This window comes from Homo sapiens, chromosome 6, assembly GCF_000001405.40.
Source record: "Homo sapiens chromosome 6, GRCh38.p14 Primary Assembly".
In the NCBI taxonomy this organism is placed as follows: Eukaryota; Metazoa; Chordata; class Mammalia; order Primates; family Hominidae; genus Homo; species Homo sapiens.
Genome location: NC_000006.12, coordinates 165,657,311 through 165,683,746, shown reverse-complemented (window position 1 = coordinate 165,683,746; position 26,436 = coordinate 165,657,311). Strand labels below are relative to the sequence as shown.

Here is a 26,436-nt window from a genome sequence, read left to right as displayed (position 1 = left end):
ACTGCTGCACTCTCCAGCCCTCCTGTGTGAGGCTCAGCCTGGCAGCTCAGGGGCCTCCAGGAGACTGTGGCTTGTATTGCAAGCCTACCTCACACGGTCAGGGAGGTTTATGATATGCTTTGGAAGGCATGCCATTTAGAAAGCTGTGATAAAACACGGCACTTAATATTCAGTTATTTGGAACAAAAATGACCTCACCAAGATCTCAAATGAAACACATCCCAGATGAACCCATCTCTCCCACACCCACAGCATATGTAGAGAAACGTGACTGCAAAGATAGCTTGTTGATGTCTTAGTCGTGTGTGAGCGCGTGTGTGTGTGTGCTTGAGCATCTGTGTATGTGTCTGCACACACACTTTTTGTTGTTGTTTAAATAAGTCCTTTCTGATTTCTCCTCCTGGGATTCTCGTTGGCTGGGCAGTTTCCTGGAAGCCCATGTCTCTGATGCCCACCCGAAGGCCTTTGGTATATTCTGAATAGTGTTCTTTTTGCCCATGCTGTTATTCAATGCATCCTTCCACTCCTCACTGGAGAGCGCTGCACAGGCCTCTGTAAGGTAATCCCTTTCAGAGAACTCAGCCTTTGAATTATTCTCTCCCTCTTCAGTCTTCTTTCCTTCCTGCTGTTCATTCATTCAACAAATAATTTTGTGAGTACGCACCATGTGCTAGGAGCTGTGCTGAATGTTGAAGGTGCAACCGTCTATGCAGGCCTGGCCTCTGCCCACACGCACTTTTACATTCCGGTGGGGGAACGACACAATGAACAGACAATTTTAACACAAGTTGAATGACATGATGGAGAGAAGTTTAGGTGTCTGTGGGGGCAAATGAAAGGGGTACCTAACCCAGACCTGAAGGTGCAGGTACAGTGTGCTGGAAGTGGGGATGTACAAACCGATGACCAGCAGATTCTAGATCTTTGTCAGTGATGATCTTCACGTTCCCTGTTGATGGTAAATATGGTCTATAGATGGCTAAGTCCATTCAGGCTGCTACAACAAAGTGCCATAAACTTGGCGAGTTATAAACAACAGACATTCATTTTTCACGGTTCTGGATGCTGGGAAGTCTGAGATCAAGGGGCTGGCAGATTTGGTGCCTGGTGAAGGCTGGCTTTCCGGTTCGTAGATAGCCGTCTTTTTATGGTATCCTCACATGGCAGAGAGGCAAAGGGGGCCTCTGGCGTCTCTTTATGAAGGCACTAATCCCATTTATGAGGGCTCCACCTTCACGACCTTATCACCTCCCAAAAGCCCTACCTCCTAATACCATCATGTATAGGGTTAGTATTTTAAGATATAAATTTGGGGCTGGGCACAACGGCTCACACCTGTAATCTCAGCACTTTGGGAAGCTGAGGCGGGTGGATTGCTTGAACTCAGGAGTTTGAGACCAACCAGGGCAACATGGCAAGACCCCAGCCCTACCAAAAAATGTAAAAAATTAGCTGTGTGTGGTGGTGCATGTCTGTGGTCCCAACTACCCAGGAGGCTGAGGCAGGAGGATCACCTGAACCCTGTGGTTGAGGCTGCAGTGAGCCGTGATCGCAGCCACTGCACTCCAGCCTGGGTGACAGAGTGAGACCGTAACTTAAAAAGACAACAAGATATAAATTTGGGGTTGGGGAATAAAAACCTTCAGTCTCAAGTAAGAGATACAGTTGGCTACTTTTATAGATTGGTGGGAAATCAGCATGTTAAAACCAGAACAAGGACGACTTAGAGGGCGTTCACGATAGCTATATGAAATATAGTCAACAAAATTTCACCCACTGTTCTGTGAGGCATCCTACCCTCCTTTGATGACGACACATAATTTCAGAAAAATTAAACTCATTTATCATTAATACAAATGGCCCTACCACCATCAGGTTGGCTTAGAATCTCAGTGAGCCTCTCTGAGCTTCTCACTTCCTCTAGTAGCCAGCTCACTTATTAGAAGGACTAGGAGCAGTTTGTAAAACCAACCCATTCAGGGTACAGTGCCTGTGACCTACAGACAAGAGGTGATTTTGAGTAAACAGCCAGTGTATTTCAAAACACTTCATTACAAATGCAGGCTTGGTTCACAATTTGCTTTTTTTAGAAAAAGGAAAAAACTATATAAAATAATTGTAGATTCCTTTATGGCTTCAAAGAAGTGGTAGCCTTGTGCTAGACCGGCAGCATCGGTATCCCCTGGGAGGTTGTTAGAAATGCAGGTTTTCAGCACTACTCCAGATCTACTGAATCAGAAACTCGGAGGAGGGGGAGGTCTGTTTTTAAGTTCTCCAGATGGTTCTGCACCATTGCTTTAAGGGAAAATGCACACAGACACACACACACACACACACACACACACACACACATTTTCCCAAGACAATTATTGAGGTTAGGGTTGATGCCTAAAAAGAGTAATTTTGAAATTTTCTTTTCAACTTGTCTGTTTTTCTATAGCCATACGAAACTAAGTATTAGGAAACAGGCTTCTTAAATTCCTTTTTGCACAGCAAATATATTTGTTGACCATCTGGAAAAGTGATTTAATCAGATGGATGCTGATACGTACCACACAGGCATCTTGGATGAGGTGAACTACCCCTTGCAGCGCTCTGTAAACACAGGCGTTGCCATCAAACAGGAAGATTGAAAAGTTGGTCTATACTGTGATAAGATGGACAGTCTCCTATACATACTTTCTAGGACGTCTTCATATGCAATTTACAAAGTAACTTGAGAGTCTTTGAAATTATGGGCTCTTCAGCAATGTAAAGATATTAGCACATAAAAGCATTTTTCTTCAAGCTGGCCACCCTAAAACATATAAGGGAAGTAGATGAATGCAGGCAGAAGGTAATGAGTATTTTTTGTTTGTTTGTTTAGATGGAGTCTCGCTCTGTCACCCAGGCTGGAGTGCAATGGCACAACCTCGGCTCCCTGCAACCTCCGCCTTCAGGGTTCGAGCGATAGTAGCTGGGATTACAGGTGCCCGCCACCACACCCGGCTAATTTTTGTATTTTTAGTAGAGATGGGGTTTCACCATGTTGGCCAGGCTGGTCTCGAACGCTTGACCTCAAGTGATCTGCCCGCCTCGGCCTCCCAAAGTGCTGGGATTACAGACCTGAGCCCCCGCTCCTGGCTGGTAATGAGTATTTTTAAAAGGATGCATTTTTGTGTATATGTGTTACACAGTGGTAGAAATTGTCCAAGATTCCTCTATCTTTACTTAAAAATTGTCTGTGGATTATGACTCAAGTTCAAGGTCAATTTATATAAACAAGACTCCATTTATCTTTTGTTCTCATTGCACTGGAGAGGTGCTTACCTGCAGAGAAAGTACCTCCGATTGTAGCTGGAAGTTTGCCTTCTGGCAGAATGGAGAACATCTCATTTCCTCTCTTGTTTCCTCCGTGGAGGTTGCTACAGCTGAATGGTGATCCTTCTTGCTTTTGTGGCAGCAACTCACTTGAATTATAGAACCTGCAACATATTGAATTCCGCCTTTAATCTCTTTTTGTGATATTACTCCCAAAATATTACAGAGGAATTTTCATGGTGATTTTTTTTTCACAACCTCCCAATTAGATGTTAAGTTCCTTAAGAGACAAACGAGAGCTCACGATCCATGGCTGTTTTCTTTTTCCATCTCAGTTGCAATGGTGTACCTAAAAATACCCAGTAGCACCCACATGGGTACCCCACAGTACCCAACAGTACCCAACAGTTCCCACCATGGGTACCCCATAGCACCCAACAGCACCTACCATGGGTGCCTCATAATAACCAGCAGCACCCACCATAGGTACCCCAAATACTCAACAATGTCCACCATGGGAGTCCCAGAGTACTCAACAGCACCCACCCCAGACACCCCACAGTAGCCAGCAGTGCCCACCATGGGGACCCACAGTATCCATGGTGACCATAAGATAAAGACTATTCCAGAAATGCCACTTTTCACACTCTTCTCCCCACATTCCTAAATTAGACCCAGGAAATCTTGTGGCCCTTTGTCTTACAAGGAGAGAGAAAGACATCACAGCGATGGATGAGGCTTGAACCGTTTCTGTAGGTCGCAAACACTTAAAAATCAGCAACTTCATGGGCTCAACTGTATCTATTTTTCCAAAGTGTAAGAGATCAGCCTTTGACCTGAAGGGGACTGTGAGGTGCTTCCCGGCGTTCCTGTGCTGTGACAGTGTGGGGCCAGGCACGCCTGACCGCAGCCTCTCCAGGAGGCCTGTCAGGAGGAGGGGGCGGTGCCACACCTCCTCAAGGGCTGGGAGGTAGCGGCCGGTGAGAATCCAGATTTCCCCTTTCCAGGCAGTCTTTCCAGTCCAGAATCCTTCTCTGGGCTTGGCAGGAAGTTTAGAAGAAGGTTCTTTCCAACTTCTTGGTATCCACTTTGAGAACCTACTGCTTTTCTGCCAGTATCCATTGTAGCATACAGAACATGAAGGAAATGATCTGGTTATCTGGGTTTAAACCAGCATTTATCTGCCGACATTAGTTCTTAAATAGAGCTATATTTTCTCATTCTTTTCTAATCACTTTACCTGATATGCAGATGAGCCCTGTCCTACCTACCTGATGAGGCTGTCCTGAAGATAAACTGAGATGATCCATGGGGCACCCCTTATCCTGAACACCCAATGCCACAATTACCTAAACTGACCACCTGTTGAGTACTTTAAATGTCTCTCATGTGTGGTATGTTTTCAAAATATCCTTAGGAGAATCCAGAACCTCCACATGAATTAAATCAATGGGATGATTTTTCTAGACAACGTCCCATCTCCTTTCATCTAATAATGCATTCCTTAACATACACGAATCGGAAGAGTCTGCCTGTTTCTAGTCTCTTTCCAGAAGCAAAGAGAGCAGAGATCCTTGCTGGATGACAGTTGATTTGGTGGCTGTTGCTAGGATAGAATTTCTGCCACATGTTAAAAAGAATGTGCATGCTCATTTATCATTCAAAAAGATATTTTTTTCTTTTTTGGTAAGAGCAAATGCACAAAACTTGTTAGTACAAAGAGAGAAAGAGAGGGAGATGCTGAGTGTGGGCGGAAGCGGGTTGTGATCCAGCGCAGGGAGAGGCTTGAGATGAATGCTGCCAGCGACACGGGCTGGGGACCGGGTGGCATGGGAAGTGGAAGGAGGGAAAACTGTTTCCAAGCGGCGGGCAGAATAGAAGCAGGGAGCGGGGTTAACAACTTTATTTTAAAATCCAATGAAGGGGTTATGAGGATTTGAGCCTTCACACTTCCAGTTTGAAATTTAAAAAGAAATGCCAAAATGTTATCGCTTCTTAAAATGATTTTTTTTTTCAAGAATACAGAAAAGAAGGTCTGAGTACAAAGGTGGTGGCTTCATAACGGGAAGAATCATAGGGAAGTATAGTAGCCAGGGTTATCCTGAGAAACAAACAGAAGGAAAGATATGCACACACATGCACACACAACTGCACACACACAGAGACACACACACATACACAGACACACCGATACACATTCACAGATACACACATACACACACACATATACACACACAGACACACATATACATACACAGACACACATGGACACACACATACATACACACAGAGAGACACACACATACACACGTACACAAACACAAACACACCCACACAAATACATACACATATTAATACACACACATAGCTATACAAACACACATACACAAACACACACATATACAAACACCCACACAAACAGCTACACATACACAAACACACATAAACACACATGGGTATACAAACACACACAAAACACATAGATATACAAACACACACACGGATATACAAATACAGATGTACAAAAACACATACACAAATACACATATATACCCATGCATATACACTCAAACACAAACATACACATACAAACACACACATACACAAACGCGCACACATCACACATATATACAAACACATGCATATACAAATATACCCGCATTTACACACACACACAAACACATTACGCATATGAACACAAATGCACATATATACAGTGTCCCTCATGGGGTAGAGCTCTGTAGGACCTCTCATGGATACCAGAGTCCACCGACGTTCAAGTCCCTGATATAAAATGATGTGGTATTTGCATGTAACCTATGCACATCCTCCTGTATACTTTAAATTGTCATTATAATTACTTATAATACCTAATACGATGTAAACGCTATGTAAATACTGCATTTTTTAGGAAATAATGACAAGAAAAAGGTCTTGAGGTGTTCAGTGCAGACATTTTATTTCTAAATATTTTAATCCAACAAGGCTGGTTGAATCCAGGGATGTGGAGTCCATGGATATGGAGGGCTCACTGTATGTGACTATATGTATCTAGAGAGACAGCTTTTAAGGAACCGGCTCACACAACTGTGCTGGCATGTGGAAAAGCTGCAGGGCAGGCAGGGCAGGCTGGAGGCCCAGGGAAGAGCTGGTGTTGCAGCTTGAGCCTGAAGGCTGTTGGGAAGCAGATTTCTTCTTCCTTAGAGGACCTCAGCCTTTTTCTCTTGAAGTCGTCCACTGATCGGATGAGGCCCAGCCACACCGTGGACAGGGTCTCTGCTTTCCTGAAAGTTGACGGATCTAACGTTAATCCTCATCTACAAAATGCCTTCACAGCAACATCTAGACTGGGATTTGGCCAAGCAACAGGCCATGTGGCCCAGCCAAGTTAACATAAAATTAACTATCACAGGAAGAAAGGAAGTGAATCATTCAAGCAAGATTTTGCACTTTTTCTTGGAAAGTCGTTATCAGAATAGTTTCATTTCTCGGGAATGAGTGAGGACCCGTCCTGCTGGAGGAGCTGGCCCTGGAGGCCCCAGCCATGCTGTGAGTGCGTGTGGTCCTTCAGTCCATGCACTCCTGCAGTTGCAAGTCCATGCCGACAGGCAGGAAGGGAGGCGCTCGCCAGTCCCACGGCACTCCGCCCTCCCAGAGCACATCAGGGAAAATAGCCGTGAAATGTGGGTGAGCTTTAAAAAAAAAAGTCAGATCGTGTGAGTCACTGATGTTTCCCATTTTGTGAAGACTGGAAGCCAAGTCAGTGGCCTAAACAGCCCGTGAGCTGGCCGGGTCACCCCCCACCTCCTAGTCCACTCCAGGCACATGGGCCTGGGTGCAAGTCCTTGGACCCCTCTCACGGCTATCCCCTCCTCCTGGAACCCCTTCCCTCACCACCTTCCAGCTGGGCTCACACATCAGCTTCTCAATGAGGCCCCAGCCGACCACGCCCTTTCCAACCTGCCCAGCACCCTGACCCACCTCTTCCTCTGCGGCACCTGTCCGGTTTCCCACATGGCCAGGTTAACTGATGCATGATATTTCTTACTGTTGAAAATGTTTACTTTTATAAATTGAAGGGCTACAAGTGCAGTTATGTTACATGGAAATGGTGCATAGTGGTGAAGTCTGGACTTTAGTGTGGCCATTGCCCAAATCGTGTATATTGTACCCAATCGGCAATTTTCTTATCCCCCACCTCCCTCCCACTTTCCCACCCTTCTGTGTCTCCAAAGTCTGTGATTCCACTCTGTACATCCATGTGTACACATTTTTCAGCTCACACTTCTGAGTGAGAATATGCAGTGCTTGACTTCTTGGTTTTGAGTTGTTTCAGTTAAGATAATGGCCTCCAGTTTCACCCCGGTTGCTGCAAAAAACATGATTTCCTTCTTTTTATGGCTAAGGAGTCTTCCATGTATACGACACTTTCCTTATCCAATCATTAGCTGACGGACACTTAGGGTGATTCCATATCTTTGCTATTGTGAATAGTCCTGCAATAAACATACAAGTTTAGGTATCTTCCTGATATAATGATGTTCTTTGGGTAGATACCCAGTAACTAGATCAAATATTAGTTATACTTTGGTTCTTTGAGAAACCTATTACCTTTTATTTTCCATTCTAGAATATATGTTTCATAGGAGCAGGAGTTTTTGTCTTTTTTGGTTGACTTACATATCCCAAGCACCCAGAATCCTGGTGCGTAGTAGACACTAAATATTTGTTAAATAAATGAATAATTTTCCAGTATGGCATGAGGCTTGGCATTGAGGTCACCCCAAAATCCCTCAGCAACAACAATTCTGTTTTGTTTCTCTAGCCTGATGTGATTTGGGAAGACTAGGAGTCCTTTTCCATTTTCAGATTTTCTCTGGAGGCCTCCACACACAAATACCATGACAGTATTTGTACGTCTATTTTAAATGATCTTACTTTAAATATAGAACACAAGTCTTCTATGAAAAATTTGAATTTAATATTTTAAAAGCTTTTTTCTCTTTCTCAATACCAAGAATATACTTAGAGAAAAATATACTTCATTTTTATCAAATAAAAATAAACTCTTGTATATAGACTCATGCATGTATAAACACTGTTGAGTCTTCCAGCATGCAGTCCAACGTTATTTACATTTTCCAAGGATGAAATGTAAAATTTTATGGTTTGGTCTTTCTGCTTAGCACATGTTCAACAAAAACAAACAAACAAAGCAGATACTTAAATCTCAGGCTGGGAAAAAGTAGATAAGATTTACCTATTTTCAGAATAACAATGTTACATTGTAAATGTAGCCAGACTTTTGGGACAGGCATAGGCATAGACAAAACTATTGATTTTCTAGTATTAAATTATTGCGATGTCTTCACCTCCTTCTCATCACTAAGATGACTTACTCTGAAAACTCAAGCTTGAAAACGTTGAGGCTTTCTCCCAGGAGAAAAGGTCTTGTTTGCAGTGGGTTGGTGTGTGCTGTGGGCACCTGGATGGACAAGGCAATGACTCAGAGAGAAGTGTGGAGTCTAAGAGTGAACGAGAAAGAGGCACTCAGAAAACAACAACAACAACAAAAACTTCCAGCTTTAAGAACTGGGGAAGGGATGAACCATAAAGCAGGAAAACTTCCTAACTGGAAGTTTATGCCGGAAGTGAGTGTTACAACTTTCAGAGGCAACTGACTATGTACACATTCTGCCTCCGTGCCCTTGTTTGGGAAAGTAATCCAAATTCAGGCATTTTGAGCTGCTAGCAGCTTCTCTCCTTCTGTGATAAGCCCATTGGCTTTCCTTTGTCCTGGCCAGTCCCTTAGGAATAGTGAGTTAGGCGAAAAGATCATTAGCGAGCCATTTTACGTTTTCTCATTTTATAGTCCTCATAAAAACACCAGGAGCCAGTCGTTGGCGGGCATTTGCTCTAAGCCAGGCAGTGGTCTCACGGTTCCCACGCACGCACGTCAATCTGAATCCCCACAGCCACTTCCGCTTTCTCCCCACTGCGCATCAGCAGGGAGCTCAGAATAGAAAGGAACTTCCATGGGCAGCTGGGATGTGGCGGATCTAGAATTTAAGGCCAGGTCTATTCTGACTGACAGAACCACACCTTTTTTTTTTTTTCTTTTCCTGCTGAGTGCCTGCTGCACGCCAGGGACCACTGGAGGCATTTCCATACACATAATCTTGGTCATCCTCACGGCAACACTAAGAGGGAGACACGGCTATTGTTTCCATGCTTCCATTTTAAAGATGGAAAATGAAGTTCGGCAAAAGTCTATATTTTGTCCAAGGGAACTGTGGAATGGGAAAGGGGTAAAGGCAAGATTTGAACCTGGGCAATGAGTCTCTAGAACAAAGGCTACAGTCTTTGTTTCTGTGTGCTTCTGACCAGCTCAGGTTTTTCTTTCCTGGGAAACATTTATAAAATATGATCGATCATATCTATGGACACGGAAACACTTTAAAAAATTTTAAATTAGAGATCTTTCAAGTCACATTATTTTATCGTAATCCAAAACTCAACTAAACTAATAATGTGGCTGATAATATTCTTTATTATTTGGAAATTCATAAACACGCTTCTATATAACCCGTGGATCAAAGAGAATATTAAAACTGAAATTTAAAACCATTTAGAAACATATAAGAAAGGAATATTTTATTTTAAAACCTATGGAATCCCCAAAAGCTCAACTCAGGGAAAAACTCTGTATTGGCAGAAATGCCTTCACCATTAAAGAAGAAAGACTAAAAACAAAGGAGCTGAATACACATGATAAAAATTTCAAAACAAAACATGAAAGTGTGAAGACAGAATGTATCGCTAAAACTAACATGTAAAATAAGGGAAAGTACAAATAAATACACAAACTGATATTCTGAAACCAGAAGTGGCTGAAGAGGCCTGAATTATAGGGCTGCAAGAAGGTCTGCGGAGATCATCTTGCCTAGGTACAGGGGTCAGCAGCTCCGGCGAGGTTTTAACCCTCGCCTTTCCAAATCCAATAGAGAAGCTACAATAAATCCAAATCTGCTGTGACACAAAATAAAACAATTAAAATCTTGCATGGCTATGCTTTTCTCACTTTGGAATAGTGTACGTCAGAGTGGGGCTATGGACTCCTGGAAGAACCTGTATACTAAATACCATGTTGGCTTTTGTAAATAGAATTCTATATACATGCACTAGGGGTTAACCATTCATGGGAATCTGTGCCATATCTAGTTCTAAAGTGCACATCCCTTTCTCCTTCTTCCATCTAGTTTATCTGTTGAAAAGTTGAAATTTTCACTGATTTTATTTTCTTCAGAGTTATACCATATTTAGTGACTACTTTCTGGGTCAGTTCACCTAGATATGACAGGTCTGAGACTTAAGTGGTTAGTTAGGTTGAACTGCTAGGAGTGGTGTGGGCTCTGCTGTTACCTTATTTAATTCATGGCAAAGGTGTGGAGGGGAGTATTCATTTACAACCAAAAAGGACTGGCAACTGCACTCAGTCACAGTGAATTGCTGGAATTACAAATGGTTCCCAACTTATGATGGTTCAATTTAAAGATTTTTTGACTTTATGATGGTGTGAAAATGATAGGTATTCAGGAGAAACCGTTCTTCGAGTACCCATCTGTGTTAGTCCGTTTTCACGATGTTGATAAAGATATACCTGAGACTGGGCAATTTACAAAAGAAGAGGTTTAATGGACTCATGGTTCCATGTGGCTGGGGAGGCCTCACAATCATGGCAGAAGGTGAAAGGAACGTCTCACATAGCGGCAGACAAGTGAAGTGTGAGAGCCAAGCAAAGGGGTTTCCCCTTAGCACTACCATGAGAACAGTATGGGGGAAACTGCCTTCATGATTCAATTATCTCCCACTGGGTGGCTCCCACAACATGAGGGAATTATGGGAGCTATAATTCCAGATGAGATTTGGGTGGGGACACAGCCAAACCGTACCACCATCCAACCACTGTTTTTCACTTTCAGGACAGTATTCAATAAGTTACATGAGATATTGAACACTTTATTATAAAATAGGCTTTGTAGTTTTGCCCAACTGTAATGTTCTCAGCACATTTAAGGCAGGCTAGGCTAAGCCCTGATGTTTGTTAAGTTAGGTGTATTAAGTGCATTTTGACTTAGGATATTTTCAGCTTATGATGTGTTTGTCCTAAATTGAGGAGCGTCTGTATTCTTAAAGGTTTTTGGCAGGCTTAAAGAGCTTGCCTTATACCATTGACCAGTAAGGTATACATGAGAAACACATACCTTTACGTAATTAATGAGTTTCTGATAAACTGTGGAAATCTTTACTGTCAATGAAATCAAGTTGTAAATACAGGAACAATTTTCAGTGTTCATGGGAGTATCTATATTGATCTGTCTTCTGAAAACTTGTTTATATGAGATTTGCTTAAATCAGATTTCAAAAACGTAAGATAAGACTTCACCAGTATTTTACGGTTACGGAAGTAATATAGTTTGACTGAAAACAGATGGGATAGAGTTTCATGGCATATATTAATAACTTCGCTATAAAATAGAGATATTTAATGTGTAAACTTGCTTTTATATGGGGAGACCATTTTAACTGATGCCCCTATAAAATGATCTCCCTTTAAGAAATACAGAAATCTGTGAATACTGAATATAAACATCCTGCCTTAGAGAATAAAGCACACACACACTGTATATATGTAAACACACACATATATATGATATAAAGCACACTATATATATGTGTGTGTGTGTGTGTGATATCTAGCTGCTTTTCATCCGTTTTATAATCCATGTGTGTGAAATCTATAAAACGAGCCTAAATCCTAGCTATTAAAGCTGCCTCTAAGGGCTTCTACGAGTAGTGATGGAAGTGAATTAATTGGGTCCTTTGAGTGCAGTCATGCTGAACACAGTCATGGAGAGATATACACAGCAGCCAACGGGAAGGTGGCAGCATGAGCAGCTGGCTTCCTCTTCCTGGGTGGACCTCAATCCTAAGTGGCCCTGTGAATGGGCTCATGTTCAGTTCTGGGCAGTAAATGGGCAGAGGCACCTGGGCTGAATTCGGGCTCTTCAGGGGTTATGCTCACTCTGTGATCACTCATGGGTCGTTGTGCTTACTATATTCCCAAAATAATAAAATTACCAAGTTTACCTGTTTCAGGGAGAGGGTTAGAAAAGCTTAATCAAGGTAGTTAAAAAAACAGAAGAGGGTTTCACTCTAGCCTATCACCAGATGACATTTACAAAAACAAGTAGACTTTGGGAATTTGTAGCAAGCATCATTTGTTGTTGATTCTTAAAAAAAAAAAAATTAGTGAACGTTTTACCCAAAAAGGGTGATTCTAACATTGATATGTTGAAAACCTAGGAAATCAGACTCTTTACCAGTACAATCTGATCGGAAAGATGGGTCAGATAACCCTAGTCTGTAGACGTATAAAGTGCCATTTGTTAGACTCCAAAAATTAGAAGGCAATGAAATGTGATCAATAGGGACAACTTGCAGCTTTAAGATAATAAGATCAGCACTTCCTGCACACTGTGAGACTCTACCGTAGTAACCCATCTAAGGGGTCCTTTTGCCACTTAAGTTCTAAATTTGCTTGAATACATTTATATCCATTTCATTCTTCACTGAAAGTATGGATAATGCTAACAGGTTGGGATATTTTAAGACCCCAGGAATCTTAAACCCTGTTTACCCCTTCTAACTAGACCAGTTTCCCCAGACACAATGCCACTTCTTCTAGTTAACTCCAGAAACAAGAAAAAGGCATTTATAGGAAGTATTCACATTTAAATTAAGGTGATTATATCATGATTTGTTTGTCAATTACATAAGATTATCAGATAAAAATTACAGTAATTTTTAGCTTGGTTTTAGTTGTTCAATTCCAAGTTTTTAATCAAGCAAGAGAATTGCTCAGAATGCACACGTTAATCTTGCCTAAACTTCTGGGATCAAATGGGTTGAATCCAAGTTAATGATGTTCCTTTATATTTCTCAGTGTACCTGTGGGAAGGCCTTTATGTTTCAGATGGAAAAAAGCAGCAGCAGCTCAATGGTAACTATGATATAATTGTCTTAAAGCCACCCTTTGTTTCCTGTATTTTGCTGAAATGCGTTTCTTTGTGACTCGTGTTAAGAGGTGGATTAGGGCTATGTCAGTTACATGCAATAAAACAAGCTGCATCCTTGCATCAAGATGCTCACACAAGGACCAGAGATCTGCTGTCAGTCGTTTTGGGAAGGAAGGGATACACAAAATCGACATGGAATGTGCACATTATTTACCCACTGGAAGCTTTCTCTCTTTGATTCCCCAGGAGCCGTCCACCATTGGTGTGTGGCTGGATTATTGCTTCTGCTCCCTGCCAGGTGGTGCAGCTTCTTGCAAATGCAACCTTCCAGGTGTCCCTTCTGGCCAGTTCACCACTAGTGCACATACTTGGGCTGGGGCCAATTGGGTCCTTTACAAAATGACCAGTATGACATGGAAAGCAAAACCCACAAATACTTTAATGCCACTTAGCCTTGGTGTATTCTTTTTTAAATTTGAATTTTGCCTTGTTACATTAGTGGTGTCTTTCAGCCTGAGGTTCTCTGGGCTCAGCAGATGAATTTCTTATAATAAGTAGAAAGTAAAATTGAGATTTATTATGGATGTTTCAAATCAGGAAAGTTTAGGGCAGGACAAGCACAATATTCCCGGGTAGAGATCTCTGGAAATTTCCAGTGGAAATCTCTATACAGATAGGAGTGTTGGAGGGAGGAGAAAAGTAAGCTTTCATGCCACCAGTAAGTCATAATAATCTAACTGGATACCTGGAGTCAAGTGAGGAGACAGTGATTTGAATTCAGGAGACTTGCAAGGGTTAGCTCCCAGGCTGTACTCATTGACTGTACTTGGAAACAATAAAACCCTTATCAATTACTATTTACATGTATCTTTCACCATCAGGAAAATCATGCCAGTGCCAAGGAGCTCTGGAGTGGGGGAGGAGATCCTCCTTTGTTGACCTTTCCTTTGTTGATGATGGCAATATTAGTGCAGCATGTAAGCATAAAGTAATTAAACCCCAATTTCTGAGCCAAATAAAATGAATATGGCCACGGGATTATGGAAGATATGCTGCTCGTCTGAACTGCCCCTTCCTTTAACTCCCAGTCTGAGAGTTAGCACCGGGTGTCTCTGGCTCACTAATCAGTCCTATAGAGAACAAACACAGCTGAAAAAACAAGGTCGCTCATCTTTTGGCTTCTGTGAGTTATTTTCCTCATAAGGGTTCATTTCAAAAGATTTAATATACCAAGTTCTACTTACGTCTCCCAATTGGCTGCTCTTGCAGACACTGGGTAGACTGTGTGTGTGCCAGCCACCAGGCCTGACTCAGTCTAGACGGGAGCCTTCTGTAACCTACAGTCCTTGAGAAGCCACGGTGCTTCTATCATGAGGCATCAGCGGCTGAGGAGGCCTGATCCCTGCATCAAACTTTCTCTCTCCTTTTTCTGTTCTGCACTTGAACAAGAGAAGCTCAGGGACAAAAAGCATTGTCTCCTCATTAAAACCTGTGCAAAAGTCAAGATCTGATGTCAGAACACTTCACCCATGTGAAAGAACCCTCCCTCCCTCCCTCCCTCCTTTCCTTCCCCTTCCTCCCTCCCTCCCTCCCTTCCTACCTTCCTTCCTTCCTTTCTCTTTCTGTCTTTTCTTTCTTTCTCTCTCTCTTTCTTTCTTTTCTTTCTTCCTTCCTTTCCTTTCTTTTTCTTTTATTTTCTTTCTTTCTCTGTAAAGAGAAAGGAATCAGTTCTCCAAGTCCCTGGATTAAATGAGCCATTTTAATCCTTACTTCTGAGATAAATCTGGAAGAGCCAACATTTCTTTCTCCTGTAACTGCATCGAACCCCTTGTATACATGCCAAGGCCTATTATAAAAATTGGGTTATCAAAATTTAAAATGTTTGCAAGAAAAAGATTCCAGAGTAACAGATGAAGAGCTACTTATTTCAAGCAACATGAACAATACACATTTTAAACATCACATAGTAATTCGTGTAGGCACTGAGGTAGTATCATGGTGAGATAAACTCAGTGGCAATTTTGGCAGCCCTTGCGAGACTTGTATACCCATTTGTACAAAAGGTGTCCATAGAAATCAGGGTATACCATCTTTTATAATTTCAGCCCCCAGCCAACCCTTTTTATCCAGAATGTCCCTCTATGACCTCTTTCTATTTAAAAGCTTTAAACCAGACTTTAGTTCTCTTAAAGAAGTATTTTCTGTCTTTTAGGCTTATTATTCTTATTGAAATATAATTATCTCACACTGCTTTTATTTAATTCTTAAAACACAGTCTCAAACACAATTGATATATTTGACTTGTAAAAGTTTGGTGAAAGTGTTGATTATTTAAACAGAACTCATTGTTGTGTTCTAACTTGCATCTGTTTTTAAGAACTGAAAACTGTTTCAGCACTCTACAAATGCCAATGGATTTCTACAGTGACTTGGTATTTTTTAATGGCAACATCTTTGAAATATACTTCTGTGTCATAACACAGCAGTGTTATATAATAGAGTTAATATTCACATGGTTATCCTAAGAACTTAGTATTGATTATATAATCTCAGCAATACTTTTTAACACCAGTATCTTCATGGCTACATACGGCCATTATGCAGAGCTTATTTTCAGGAGATAATTAATGTTTTTCTTTTTATTAGTGAAAATCTCCGCTTGGGTTTTACTTTAATGAAGAAACACACGTTTCTGTCATTGAAGAGAAGCCTTAAAAAAAAAAAAAAGAAACACACATAACCCCTTTCTCAGATAGAATGGATTCTTCACACCTATTTGAAATATTGTTTTAACCATTTGCATCTCATCAAAAATATTCTAATTAAAAACTAATTTTATTTACAATTTAAAAATTATAACGAATTCTAATTTAAAAATTAAAAACTATTCTGATGTTTATTAAATAAATAATGATATAACCTATACTGGTTTTTACTTGCTTTAAAACATAACGTGATAATACAACTGCAATTTGTTTTACAATTAATTGGTTGGAATTAATAAAAATAATTTAAGGGAGTGAAGGATAAGAGACTACAAATTGGGTTCAGGGTATACTGCTTGGGTAATGCGTGCACCAAAATCTCACAAATCACCACCATAGAACTTACTCATGCAACCCCTACCTGTTTCCCAAAAACCAATGGAAATAAAAAATAAATAAAAACAATTTAATTGAAACTGAAGATCTAGGAATATTAGTGGCAGCTAAAGTTGTTTTTATCATCTTGGTCTGTTTTCAAGGCTGTCCCCTATGAAGTATTGACTTTCATAATATTTTTAAAACCAGAATTATAATGGCCTTTTATTTTAGGTTTGACTATAACAACACTGTAAGAAGCTATCCCTTACTTTGGTCAAGATGTCTTAACATCAATAGTAATGGAAATTTGTAATCAGCTGGCATTCAGGTGACAGGAAGGCCAGCAATTATTGAGTGCCTATTGTGTGCTGGCCTTCATTAAAGGCTATGAATAGTTGGAGAGGCAGTCTCCCTGATGTCAAGCTGTTTAAAATGGAGCTGTCAATGCAAATTACATGCGCATTAACTTTCTTAACAAGAGACTTACCCCAACATGTTGATATGTGCAGATAAAATACATAAGTTCCAGGAGTCTAGACAACAAAGCTATGATGAATTGGGGATGAGAAAAATTGAAGGAGGTTTCCTGGAAATACAAACTAAAGACTTGTAGTGAGGGACTGCGGGGGTGGGGGGCCGGGAGCATGTGAATAAATGCCTGGAAGCTGAACTCCATTTTAATGACACCAGGTAGTAAATAAAGTATCCTATTAGAATGGAGAGAGTTTGTGTGATATGACACATCACACCTGAATGACATTTACATTAATTTGCTAGCTATTAAATGGAAAAAGTCTGATATGTAAAACGCACATAATTTTATTGAGCTTGGGAACAATAAACACTTGCTTATGATTTATTTTGCTATGCATTTTAAATAAGTTACAAAAATTAAAATCACGGTAAAGGGAACGTGCATTTTGGTAGACATCTGTATAAGTAGATGAGTTTAACATTTAGTTTTCTTTGCTTTTATATATTCATAAAGAAAGGTTATTATTTAAAAAAGGAAACAGGGTTTTCAAGAATCAATGATGTGAAATTTACAACTGTAAGCACTAATATCCACAGTTGTAAACTAAAATCAGTTAAGACACAGATTTGCATATTTACCAAAAAGTTCATAAAATATTAACCATGTTAGTTACAAACCTAGCTCTTAGGTTATTAAAATGGGTGCATGGCTAAATTATCATGAAGAAATTTCATACTTTTTAAAGGAAAATCCTCATTTCAAAATTTCTTAGGCTGTACCTAGACGCATGTTTTTAAGAACATAAAATCCAAATTAACAATCAGGCAGGTATTGTTTCCTCTATAAATAAATGTGAGGCATAAATACTAAAAGCAATACAGAATTAACTTGATTTAAAAATAACAACATATAGAAGAATGTTTGGAGAATTTAAATATACTTATGGTTGTATAGGTCCACTAATTTAAAGTTTCATTAGCAATACAAAACTCTTGATTATTTTCCTTGGTAAAAGGCACAGACAAGTGTTTTATATTCTTTTAAAATGATGGTCATCATTATTTTGGCACCTGGTGTTAACTACCCTCTTAATATTCTTTTAGTTTTTTTTTTTTCTTTGCAACGTGGGCTTGGAATTTCCTCAGCTGAAAGTAAGGAAAATTGTTTATTTTACCAAGAGCACTGCAACATTGTGAATTTCTGCCATCGCTCTTCCTCTTCTCCTAATAATGACAGTATGCTTAAGTTGAGCTATAGTATAATAACCTTTTGTCATGTAACTATATTGCAGTCTTTATGGGAACTATCAGAATGCAGTGTTCCCTCCGTTATGGGCCGGTGCGTTTATTCACAAAAGGTTTGGAGTAACAAAAGTGTAGTGTCACAGCCCTCTCCTCCTTCTGATATATCAGTAAAGAAACTCAAAGGGAAGGAAAGGAATCCGCAAGCAGCGCGTTCTCCAGGCGCAGCAGCCACCTGAGCACGGGTGAGTGACAGACCCTGTATGTCTGCGCCTTTGTCATTAAAGTCTTCACCTAAGCAAAGTTCATGAAGAAAAGAAAGTGGCTGAATGCCTCTGAGACTTACAGTAACAAACGTGGACACCAGTATGAAGGAGGGAGATCATGTATGAAAATTTCAGAGCTAATCAGTAAACTCCATCCTCAAGTTGTTTTCTTTTCCGTTGTTATGCCTTGTGATTTTTAATTTGTCCAGGAAAACGTCCCTTCCAGCAAGCACTTGGAGAAAAGGACGAAAGGTAAACAGGAGGTTGATTCTGGGAAAGGGTTAATGAAAATTTTAAAGTTTGCCTCCTGATTTAATAAGGGCTCCCAGGACAAATATTTGGGGTTTCCCACCCTGTCTCCTGCGCCCGCAAGGGGGCTTATGGGCAAGTTAAATGTATATTTTCTTGGAACTGAAAAATAGATTTAGTAACTCCAAAATGCAAATAAAGAAACTTAAATGACAAGGAGAAACAATTTTGCGTGTAAAGGAATAAACAATAAACACTTGAGGAGAAACTCGACTTCCCTAAATGTGTGGGCAGCCCTCAGACCCTTGCTGCCTGGTCCAGTCGCGAAAGCACAAACTCCGGACTCGCAGCAAAGTAACCGGAGTGGACTCTGCACGGCTGGAGAAGCGTCAAGCCGGGAGGCTGCCGGCAGCCTGGCTCAACCATTGCAGTTTTTTTCTTTGCCGAAAAAATTCAGAAACAAGGGCAGCGCCCCTAAGGTAAGAGTCACAGGAATCATTTTCTTCTTCCACAAATGTAGGGATTCTGACCTAGTGAGTGCCAAGTCTGATGCCCGTTACACGCGACACTCAGAATCTGCCCGGCAATCGCGGAGACGTCTGTGGACTTTACTGGGGGAGGGGAGCCCCAGCATGTCCTTTGCATCCCAACTGCTCAGCTTGGTGCAAATACAAAAGTGTTATTTTCCATTGGGGGGAGTTTGGATGGGAGTCGGGGAAAGCATCGACTAGTGAGGAATCTGGAGCACGCTTCAAAATAAACATGTGAAACTGGATAGAAAGAAGAAAACGTGGAGGGCGAGAAATGGCCCCGGGACCCGGGGCACACCGGGAGCCCAGGGCCCTGGGTCAACCCAGTTGCTGCACTGTAGCGCACGCCTGGCGCTTGGGTGACCGTTTTGCCCTTCGTGAAAGCTGAGCTTTGGCGCGTGTGCTCCACTCCGGGGAAGGTGACCTCGTCCAGGCAGTCCGGACAGCCCGTGCCACCGTGGAACAGCACAGCCACCGCCCCTCCTCGGACCCAGCGCGCCATGGTGGCCCCGCCGCGCGTGCCTGCCCGAACGCGGACACCTGTGCATCTGTGTGCGCTCTTGCGCTCCAACTTCCCCAAACTTCTGGCGGCTCCTAGTTCTGAGCGCCCATTGGGCGGCTCATTTCCCTTCAGTGGCAACTGCCTGGATTCATGGCTACGGAAGGGGGTGGGGGTGTCCAAGAGAGCCGCATATGGCAAGGCGGTCTCAGGGTTTGGGGCAATGATCGCACAGTCTTGCTCATTTTTGGCCACAGTTTGCCCTTTCCGTTCTCTAACCCCAACCAAGGCAAACTGGGCTTGTGCACACGAAGTTCGTTTTAAAGTGAGTATGCGAAAGGGAGTCCTGGGGAGGAACCGTATTTCAAACCCTAGTTTATGGGAAACACTGCGAGTTGATTTAAACTCCAACCAAAGGTCCGAGTTGGAACTCTCTCCCGGGAACTCTGACTGAGCACAGCTGGGTCGGAGCTGCTGGCCCGCTACCAGGAGGATTCCCTGGCTCGGGCAACGGGCAGGCCGACGTGGCTCGCCCAGCAGCGCACAGCTGGAGCAGCTGCAGGACTCAGGATTTAGAATCCGAAACACCGGACCCAGATGTGACAAGGCAGGGCAGAGACGCAGCGGTTGCTCTGTCCGCCCGCCCCGGCCCCGGGTGCAGGCGGCGCACAGAGGATCACTCGGGTGCGGGAGCCTGGCGCAGGGGCCGAGTCCCGCGGGGCGCGCTACGTGGGCGCGGAAGGCGGCGGCGGCGGCGGCGGCGTGGGGAGCGCCTGCTCCGCCAGTGGGCGTCTTCTGCCGCCGCCGCCACCACCGCCTCCACGGGCAGCGGCACTGCGGCGCTTTTCTCCGCTGCTTTCGAGAAGCCGCCGAGGCTCAGCCGCCGGAGCGCGCACACACCACGCCACGCCTGCAGGGAGGGTCTCCGCCGTCCCTAGCCCCGGCCCGGGAGGACGCCGATTGTGCGCGCCTGAGGGTAGCCAGGCGCCGTCGCCGGGGCCTGGCCCCCAGGCCCGGGTCCTCCCGCAACCCAAGCCGAGCACAATGTGAAGACTAGACTGGGAGGGAAGCCGAAGACCGGAGAGGAGGACCAGGCAGCGGTTCGGGCGGCCGGCAGGGGTGGGCAGGTCCTGCGGGGGCGGAGCCCACCGAGCCCCGGCCCGCCGCGCCCCTCCCGCCCGCGGCCTGCCCCTCCGCGGCCCGGGGAGGAACCATGGCCAGCCTCGAGGAGCCTCTTGCTCCCCGCCCCCAGGGTCCCCTGCCAGCGGCCGGGGACGAGCCGGGCTGCGGCCCCGGCAAACTCCGCCCGGAACCCCGGCTCAGCGCGGCCGGCGGGGGGAGCGCGGCGGGCCCGGGCCCGGCCCCCGAGTGGCCTGGCCGTGGCCGGGCGGAGCGCGCCGCGCCCCCGCGCCCGCCCCTCTCCTCCGCAGGCCGCCCCAGCCCCGCTGGGGGCCCCGGCGCCCTCTCTGCGCGCGGCGGCGGCTGCGGCTGGGTCGCGGCCCGCGCTCCCTTGGCGCTCGCCTTCTCGTCCCGGGTCCCCTCCTCCTCTCCATCTTTCTTTTACTTCTGGCCGCCGCCCCCCCCGCCCCCTCCCTCTTTTCTCCCCTCCTCATCTGCCTTTCACCTCCCCGTGCGTCTCCCAGGAAGGGAGGGCGCAGCGGCGGCGGCGGCGGCGGGAGGAGGCGGCGATGCTGGCGGAGGAGGAGGAGGAGGACAAGAGGCAGCTCCCTTGAGCGTCCCCACCAGCAGTAGTCACCGCGGCGGCGGTGGCAGCGGCGGCGGGCGGCGGCGGCTCTTCCTCTCGCCTGCGCTCCAGGGCTTGCTGCTTCCAGCCCGTGCCGGTCCCCGGCCGCCGCCGCCGCCCCGGCTCCCCCTTGGCCAGGCCGCCCGCCGCGCGGGCTCCCCCGGCTTCCCCGGCGCCGGCCCAGGCGGCGGCGGCCAAACTCCGCGGCGTCCCCAGGGCGCCAGCTTCGCCCTCGCCGCCGCGGCCGCGCTGCTCTTCGGCTCCGACATGGAAGATGGACCTTCTAATAATGCGAGCTGCTTCCGAAGGCTGACCGAGTGCTTCCTGAGCCCCAGTAAGTGGCCTGCTCCCCGTTCCCCGGAGGTGGGGCGGCTCCTCATCCCCTGGGGGCAGGTGGGGGGCTTGGACTGCTGGGTGGGAAGCGGGTGTCGAGCGAGGTGCCCGTGCCCGGGCGTGGAGCGCCCAGGGGGCTTCTCTGGAGGGGCAGGAGCCGGTGCCCCTGGCGGAGCGCGGGAGCGTTCGGCCGCGCAGGGACGCCGGGGTTTCCCAGGCTCCGCGAGCGCTCGGGGGAAGGGCGGCTCGGGAGGGCGGCGGGAGCTTGGACGTTGCGAGCGGGACCTGCCGCCTCCTTCTCCGCCCCTCGTGCCGTTTCTGGCCACACTTGTCCGGCGCGTATTTATACTCAACTTTGTGACCACTTAGGTTCCTCCCTCTTGAGCCTGTGGCCACTTGGCTGGAGCAGATGCGCTTCCTTCCACTTGGGGGTCCAGCCCACCGGGTCCCTGTAGCCGGGGTGAGGGAGGCCAGGGCCTCAGAACCCCGCGCTTCCAACTGTGATGGCACCGCCGTTCTCCAGGACTCGGAGTGGGCGCCCGGCCTCCCACCCCGCGCAGTGACCGGCATCCAGAGCATGGACTGGCGGGGTGGAAACGGTTGCACCTCCACCCAGGGGACGCACCCCCACCCCGGGCCGCGTCCTGTTGGTCCCGGGCTTCTCTGGGGTCCGGGGTGGTAGAGAAAAGGGAAGGACAATAGGTCGCTAGGGTGGAAGAGAAAGGCGCCGCCGCCTCCGACTCGCAGGATGCGCCCCCGGGCCCACTGTGGCGTGGCCACTCCTCCTCGCCACCCGCGGGCGCGGGGCCGAGAGCGCGCTGAGGCAGAGGTGGCAGAAAGGCATGTCACGGGGGTGGGGGACAAGATTGAGCAGAAAAGTCAAGGCAGGGGTTCGCTAGAAGGAAGCAGGCAGGCGGGAGACAGTGAGGAAAGAGGAGGCGCCCGGTGCGCAGAGGAGGGGGGCGTCGCGGTCGCGGATGGAGGGGGAGCAGGGTGAGGACGGGAAGACCGCGGCGGGGCCGGGTAGGAGCACCTCCGGGTGCAGGAGGTCGCGCCCATGGGCCCCCGCCCGACTCCGGCGCCAGTCGGGGCGGGTGCGGCTTCCCGCGGCCCAGAGCGCGGCTCCGGAGCCACCGTCCACCGCGTGTGCACCCGAGCCTTTGTCTGCGCCTCGCTCAGGAGCCGCGTTTCCGCGGCGCCTTCTCTGGGCCGACGCTCTTCCAGGATTGCTGTTTCGGTTTCCCGCTCCCAACTGCGGCTCATTCCCAGGCTTTGGCCGACCCGGGTCTCCAGGGCACCCGAGGTTGAGCCCCTCCCTGCGGCCGAAGCTGCTCCGGGCTCACCGCCCGCTCAGGCACCTTTGGGGTGCAGCCCCCGGGCTGGCGAGCGTATTCGCGCCGGGATCGGCCGCTCCTTGCAACCCCGCTTCCCGGGCACGGGCGAGTCCACGGCGGCCGCGTGGTCAGCGGCCTCTCGTACACCCGTGCGGGCTCCGGCTAGCGAGTCGCTGCTTGCGCTTGATTGGCTAGCGGGGCGCGGGCCCAATGCTCCCGAAGTCCTCTGACCCCTAAGTCCTCCCCCCCGGTGTCTGCCTCCCACCCCCGCTGCAGTCTAGGTGGGGAAGGGGTGTGGAGATGGGTGTGCATGGACAGAGCATGTGGCCTTCTCTGTTGGCCAGAGATGTGGTCAGTAGAAGCACTTTTCCCTACTGAAGTGCCCTTTGGCCATGCATTGAAGGTGGTAGAGGATGGGGCCCCACCAGCTCTCCCGGGGTGTTGGCATCAGCCTATAGGCCTGGTCTAGGACTGGGGTTCCTCCTGGTCCCCTATCTGGTGGGCTTGTGAATTCTTTCTTAAGAAAATAAACATCTGCTTTTCTCAGTTGACCTTTGATTTGGGGAAGGGGTTGAAGAACGCTCTATCTTGCAGTGACAAGCTGCTCTGGGGGAAAGGTGGTGCTACTGAGGCACGGGATCGTAGGCTTCTGGAAAAAGCCCGCGGTCCTGAAATGATGGGGCTTCTGTTGGTGCTGCTGAAACTGCTGTTGGCTCGTGTGTTCAGGGCCCTGCTGGATGTTGTGGAGGGGAAGAAAGATCGCAGCTCTGGATAGAGGGTGGAGTCCTCTCGGGATTCGTAGCAGGCTCTCCCTTTAGGAACACAATACCTGGAGAGGAGAAGGGTCTACTCTGCAGAAAGGCCCAGCTAGGAGAAGCTGGTGCATCAGAGAAACCAGACTCATCAGGGAACTTTCAAGAAAGGCCCCCTCGCCCCACACCTTGCCCTGAGCAGTAGCTTTGGCCTTGAACAGGAGCAAAAGGTTAGAACAGTCTTATTTGGGACATGACTGAGGTAGTAAACAAGAAGATACTTTTAAACAAAATTATCAGACCCACTTCACTCAAGCTTGGGAAGGGGATAGATTATTAAAAGAGAGTAGCCAATTTCTGCTCTGACACTCTTTACTTTTTGGGTCTTTGTTTCTGTCTGTTGCTGCCTGACAAGCCACTGGTCTGAATTGCTAAAGTACTGAAGTTTGACAGATTTTTCTGATATGTATCGTTTAAAAAATCAGTCTTTTGAAAAAGAATTTCTAGATTCTTTAAAAATTTTAGAATGGCCAAATGCATACAAATGTGTCTAATTGTTGAGTGTCATTCCTTTTTTTTTTCTTTCAGTTTGATCTTCTGTTGGTCTGATATGCAAGTTGTCACGTAAAGGCTGTTTTGTCCAGTTACTGTTTGTATGAATGCTGGTTTTATTTTTATTACCATCGAAAGCAAATCATGTGTAGAGGGTATGATATGCCAGCTCCGCTTCTGTCCATTTTAGCTCTGCGTTTTGGCTCTTCACACTGACCGGCTGGTTCGCTCACTCATGCACCAAACAACACTTAGTAAGAGCTACCGCCAGGACCCAGGACCCAGGCCCCAGAGACAGAAAGAAAGAAAGAAGCCTAGTAGAAGCTACGAAGCTGCTGTGGGAGCTTCCCACTCTGCCATCCAGTAATAGAGACAGAGTCCCCTAGAAGCACGTTTGAAGTTAATGCCCAGGGGTCAGTGGCCACCATGCCCAGTGCCCTTACTCTGCCCTTATCAGGCCATTCCTGACTTCACCTCATCTCCTGCCATCTGCCTCTAGTTGCTGATCTCTGGCCTCCTCCTCAGGCACCCAGCTTCATGCTTTCTTGTGAGCAAAGTTGCCATCGGAGTAGGAAAAACTCTTGTGCCTAGAGAGCCCAGTGTTTGCTTGTGCAATGGAGAGCGGAGAAGTCACGTGGGACAGACCAGTGTGAGTGGCATTTGGTCTTCTAGAAAAGATAACATAGGTTGTCTGCGCAGGTGATCAGTGTGGCTGCCCTGATGTAACACGGCTGCAGGGCGTGCAGAGATCAGGAACTCTGAGGCACGCCTGTGGATAAGGAGAACAGTCAGAAGCCACAAATACGCCCGCACCTCTCTCTGTTTGTGTTTCCCTGGTTAGCTACTCTGATGACATAAAGAGATACAGACAAAGGAAAACCCCGGCTGGTCAAGGAGGATACTGAGAAAGTTAGCAAAATAAGATGGGAAAAAAAATGGTGAATGCAGACTGCGGATAGCTTCAGACTACAGTTGATTGCCAAATATTCAAAACAGGAGATGTGTATGCTCCCAGGAATTGTGGAGTTTAAATGTGCTCCACACTCATCAGTAACCACTCTTACTGTTTCTTGAGACATAAGATACTGTGTGGCCGACACTTGAACAAACTGAGATAAATATGATCTCTTTTAAGAGCAAATGTGTTTAACACGTACAAACTACACTAGACTCGCCATTAACTTCTGTTTGTGGGCTCAGGGAGACTGAGGTTGTAGAAGAATGCGAGAACAACACTCAGCAGTGGAAATGGGTCTAAATCAGCCAACAGCTAACTCACAGATACTTGTTGAGTATCTACTGAGTGTAAATTGTTTGAGGGAGATTAAAATAATGATAACAGGTACCCCAAAGGACTTGAAATATAGCTATGGACACCTACAAAAATGACCAGCAAAGCAAGGCATGACTTCTTCCGGCAGAGCCAGGGTGTGGACGTGAGTGTCACAGTCCTCCGTGGAAGGGTGACCTATTTTTTGGTAAGGAAATCAGAAAGGACTTAAGGCCAAAGGGCAGAGCTGTTTAAACTGGTGGGATTCTTTAAGTTATTAATACTTAACTTTCAAGAAATTGCACTTTTAATTTTGAGAAACCTGCATGAGAAAATTCAAATGAGAAGCAGAAGAAACATTAGAAGATGGTGTCATCTGCTATCCCAATCAGTATATTAGTCTTAGATCATTTCTGCATGTAAAACTTTTTCCACTCCAATAGGGAAAAAACTCAGTGCAACAGTCAGTCAAGCAAATATTAGGATTTTGTTTACTATACGGCAGGTTAAACATAGTGCGGTGCACATTTCACCAACGAATACATTGTTAATTTTTGTTTGTTTCGAAATAGCTGATGCAATCTGAGAGAAAAAATAATTTTCATGTAAAACGAATATTTTCCCTTAAAAGGAAAACTCTTAGTTGTAATTCAAAACATTTTAATTTCCTTTTAAAATGTAAATTAGGCTCCTCCAGCTGATCATTTCTCTAAGTCTGTCTAAAGGAAA

The 26,436-nt window shown here is 45.8% G+C and overlaps 1 protein-coding gene and 1 long non-coding RNA gene across 7 annotated transcripts in view; one reads left to right on the top strand and one right to left on the bottom strand.

Moving 5' to 3' along the window:
• PDE10A (phosphodiesterase 10A) overlaps positions 1-26,436 on the top strand; it is a 660,764-nt gene that overhangs the window by 304,306 nt on the left and 330,022 nt on the right. For 2 of the 6 annotated variants that reach the window (NM_001130690.3, NM_006661.4), the window contains exon 1: positions 21,467-21,800. The exons of 3 other annotated variants lie outside the window; for them this stretch is intronic. In NM_001130690.3, coding sequence (NP_001124162.1) covers positions 21,734-21,800 — 67 coding nt within the window. In that variant the 5' untranslated portion in view covers positions 21,467-21,733. Of the gene's footprint in view, positions 1-20,505; positions 21,801-26,436 lie in introns of those variants that run through there. One more of the 6 variants, NM_001385079.1, reaches the window with a different exon arrangement.
• Positions 7,534-16,211, bottom strand: LOC105378115 (uncharacterized). The gene is made up of 4 exons (XR_943236.3): positions 14,980-16,211; positions 14,624-14,868; positions 8,700-8,825; positions 7,534-7,796 (listed from the first exon to the last, which is right to left on the bottom strand). It is a non-coding gene; the product is annotated as an uncharacterized LOC105378115 (long non-coding RNA).